The 4,010-nt window shown below is 51.9% G+C and overlaps 1 annotated feature.

The window, feature by feature from the left end:
- Window positions 567-1,364: an enhancer, noted in NCBI's record as "H3K4me1 hESC enhancer chr7:155898353-155899150 (GRCh37/hg19 assembly coordinates)". NCBI's record gives its function as "activates a minimal SCP1, AML or CMV promoter by ChIP-STARR-seq in naive H9 embryonic stem cells {active_cell/tissue: H9 hESC(naive)}" and the evidence as "EXISTENCE:reporter gene assay evidence [ECO:0000049][PMID:30033119]".

Genomic DNA, 4,010 nt, shown 5'->3' with positions numbered 1-4,010 from the left:
TTGCTTGAGCCCAGGAATTTGAGACCAGCCCGAGAAACACAGCGAGACCTTGTCTCTACAAAAAAAAAAAAAAAAAATGATCTGATACATGGCATGTGCCTGTAGTCCCAGCTACTTCAGCAACTCAGGTCGGAGGATTACATGAGCCCAGGAGATGAAAGCTACAGGGAACTGTGATCACACCACTGCACTCCAGCCTGAGTGACAGAGACATTGTGTGGGGAAAAAAAGTTATATTTTCTCTAAGGTAGTCATTTTTATATGAAATCATTCTAATTTCTTTGTTCATTCCCTCTATACCTTTGTTTAAAATTTGCTTGAATGATCTGTTAAGCCAGGCAGAAGTACTAAATATTGAGTCTCCTACCACATTCAGTTTCTGTACGTCCCTTAAATCGCCAACATTAATTTATCTATTTAAAGACAGCATAACTTAATACTTAAACGTTTATAGCAATTACATATCTCTGATGTGAATGGTGCCCTTTATAATCTGTAATTATCCTCTCTGTCCTTGAGTGATTCTCGCTGTGCTGCCTCCGAGCCTCAGGTTAACCCTGTGGTCTCCTCTTCCCTCCGTGCACGCACCCAGTACACTTTTTGGATCCCTTTCTGTCACTTTATTGTATGTGCTTGTAAAGAGCATATAGCTGGGTTTGGGTATACAGCTCAATCCAGGAGCTGCGATCTAACTGAAAGCTGAGAGTGAGCTTACGCCGGACCGGTGCCCTGCCTGCTGGGCCCTTTCTGCAAGGACCGGTGCCCTTTCTGCAAGGACCCAGAAAGCCTGTCTGCAGGCGCAGCCCGGAGCCACCCTCACACCAGGGAGCCCCAGGGCTGCTCCGCCCACAAGCCAAGCTGAAAGGAGAGGGCCGGAAACATAGCTCCTTATTGCCACACTGCCTTGGGACCTCCATCCCTGATGATACAAGAGAGGGACCACAAATTCGGAATTATGCAGCTCAGGAGCCCACGTGCAAGGGTCAGGTCTCCCTCCTGGAGCTGCATATCTGGTTCTGCTAGTTCTCTGCCGACTGTCCTGGAATGAAGGGGCCTGGAGAGCTGCTGCTCCTGATTTGACGGGTTTCCTCAAGGACGTGGCTGCAGCAGATGGACTGTGGCTGCTCGCGCATGAACCCTGATTGGCCCAACGCTCATCCACTTAGGATTCACCTGATCCTCTCAGCCATCTTCTGCCAGGCAAGGCATTCTCTCCCGGACACAGGGCCCCCTTGGCTGCCTGGAGCTTGCTGACAATCTCATCGATCCAGAGCACAACCCGGATCAAGCAGTAATTGGGAGTAAAGGCAGCTGTGGAGCCAAAATGATGCGGGCCCGGCGTAGGGGTCACGCACTCCACCGGGCCTGAGGGGTGCGGAGAACGGCACAAAGTCCGGAGCCCTCACAGGGACTTACAGGCTCCGCGGGGCTCCACCCTCACTGCTTCTGACTTCCCCTCGCCTCCATGTGGCCCCGCAGGTCTTATTCAGGTTTCCAGCTCCCCAGGCTTGCTTCCCTTTCGGCCTTCGCATTCGTGCTTCTCTGACGAATGTCCCTGCCCCTGGCTGGCCGCGCGGCTTCCTTCTCATCACTCAGGGCTCACCCTGCAGTCGGGGTCCTCAGCTGTGCTGCCCAGGCCGCGCCATCAAACGTGGCCTGCCCTTGCCTTCTGCCAAGTCACCTGACTTCATTCTCCGTGTGGGACCTCCCTGGCCCTGTCTCCTTTGTTTATCTGCTTTCTCAGGCATGTTCTGACCCTGGCCTCCCCCACTAGAGTGGAAGACGGAAGGACGCGCAGCTGTTGCCATCAGACGGGCGAACACACGGGGCTTCGCTTGTCAAGCGCGCATTTCTTCCCACGCTGTGCTCCCGGGGTGGTTCGGCAGGGCCCTGTCCCACCGCTGACACGGGCTCTGCCACTTTGGGTGGCACCATCTGAGACACAGGTCTCTGCATTCCCCTCGGGGGAAGAGAGAGAACGGAGAACCCTTGCTGGGCTTCACTTCCTCAGCCGGGAGTGAGCGCGCTTGCCTTTCACCCCTGTTTCATGGGCTGGAGCGCCCTGGGAAGGGCCTGGGAAGGGAAGGGAAGGACATGCTTGGTGGGCACTGCCATCTCTGTCTTCCAAGTCACCTCTCTGGTGCCAGTACCCACCATGGTGCTTGGCACAATTAGAGGCTCCATAAAAAGATTTGGATTGAGGGGAGGAAGAAAGGACACCAGCTCTGCCTTCGAGACGCCCATCGTGGACTGAGCGACGTGGGCACGTGTGAGTGTGACGTACAGGGTGGCCTGCGGGTGTCTGAGGAGCGTGGCAGAGGAGGGAGCGCCGCGCGGAGGCCCCTGAGAGGAGAAACAGCTCACCTGGAGACATGGGTGAAGTACACAAACACAGGGCGGCACAGGCTCTGCACGGCTTGGAATTTTGCACACCAAGCTACGGTGCACACCTGTCATTTCAGAGATGACATTCCGAAGAAAGAGCGTGATATGGTATGGCTTCAGTGTGAAAGATCTTTCTAGCAGCTGTATGCTGATGGAGTGGTTCAAGAAGGTGGGGGACGCGGTGGAAAGAAAGCAGACCAGTGGGTTGGTGACGGCCATGGTTCCAACAAGTAGAGAAGAGCACAGTGAATGCATGGAGGAGGCAAACCACAGCTCACAGTGGTGGCTGGCGTGGCTGTTGGGCTCTGGTTTGCATCGTGAAGGAGCAGTCCCCAAAACGCAGGGCAGGTCACAGTCTTGCACCAATGACGTTTCTACGCTGTACTCTCAGAGGATCCCTCAAAGCCCTGGCCAAGCTTCCTGCTGCGGTGGATGCCAGGGTAAGGGGCTGGTTGGTCCTCTGGTTTCTACACTCAGCAGAAATATGTCCATCTAGTATGCTCAGGTTTTTTAACAAGGAATAAAGGACTAAACTCTGCCTCTGCTACGTCCAGTGATTCATTCTCTAGAGCTCCAGATAACTGAGTTCTTACCATATAAACTTTGGGTCATTTGAAAATAATCCACTGTTGCTTTACAGCTATAACTCCAAGCTCATCACTTGAAATTAACATTCTCTCCCACATTCTCTATGTGTGGGAACCGCTGGAACCCACTTGGCAGACAAGGCACCAAGCCCAGATGCCCATTTCTAGGACGGTGAGTAACCACAAGTCTGACCTGGGCATCAGGGTGCACAGTGTCCTCAGGCAGCAAAGCCGGCTGCACTGCTACGGGACTACTCTGGGAGGGTCTGAGGACTGTCACCATAATTCTCTTCAAGATCCCAGTTCCTTCTCTGGCTCATTCCCTGCTACGAAAAGTGTGGAGCAAAGCCACATCGCAACAGTCAACTGGTGAAGGTGGGTATCCAACATGTTCAGGGAATGGTTTGATCAACTATTCTTATTTATAAGGAGGTCTAGTACAAAGTGATTAGCAGTGGCAAAGAGAATAAAACACCCTCAAGATCTCCACGCGTAGTCACTGCACTGAAAATGCACCCTATCCACAAATCCCTGCATGACTTTCCATCTGGCACCATCTTTCCCTATTCCTAAATCCCAGGGTGGAGGCTGCTTGGGCCACTCAGAGTATTAGCAAATATTGCCTTACTTAAAGGTTTTCCTGTGTCCCCTTTCCTTGCATAATTTAATTTTAAGCCATCAGAAGTTAAAGACTATTTTATACTTTGTTTTACCAGGTATTTAAGTTCAGCTATTTCACCTGGGTCCCACTGTATGGAGACCACCAGGCTGAACTCTAGGGGAAAGTGAAGAGGGTTAGGTGAAGTCCATGATGCCAGCTAGTACAATGGGAGAGCAATGAGACAGTGCTTTTCCATCTCTACTGTCAGGCAGGGTGTATGTAGTAATCTTGAAATAAATAACAAAAGTCAAAGAAAATGATCCAGAATATAGAGGAGGAAGAGATGAATTTAGGGAAGAGAGCATCAGAGAAAGCTCCTATGAGAGGCCATGCTGAGCTAAGCCTGGAATAATGTTGGACAGCCAGGACCTGCACAG

The sequence above is a fragment of the Homo sapiens genome, chromosome 7 (assembly GCF_000001405.40).
Source record: "Homo sapiens chromosome 7, GRCh38.p14 Primary Assembly".
Taxonomy (NCBI): Eukaryota; Metazoa; Chordata; class Mammalia; order Primates; family Hominidae; genus Homo; species Homo sapiens.
This window is presented reverse-complemented; position numbering and strand designations above follow the sequence as displayed.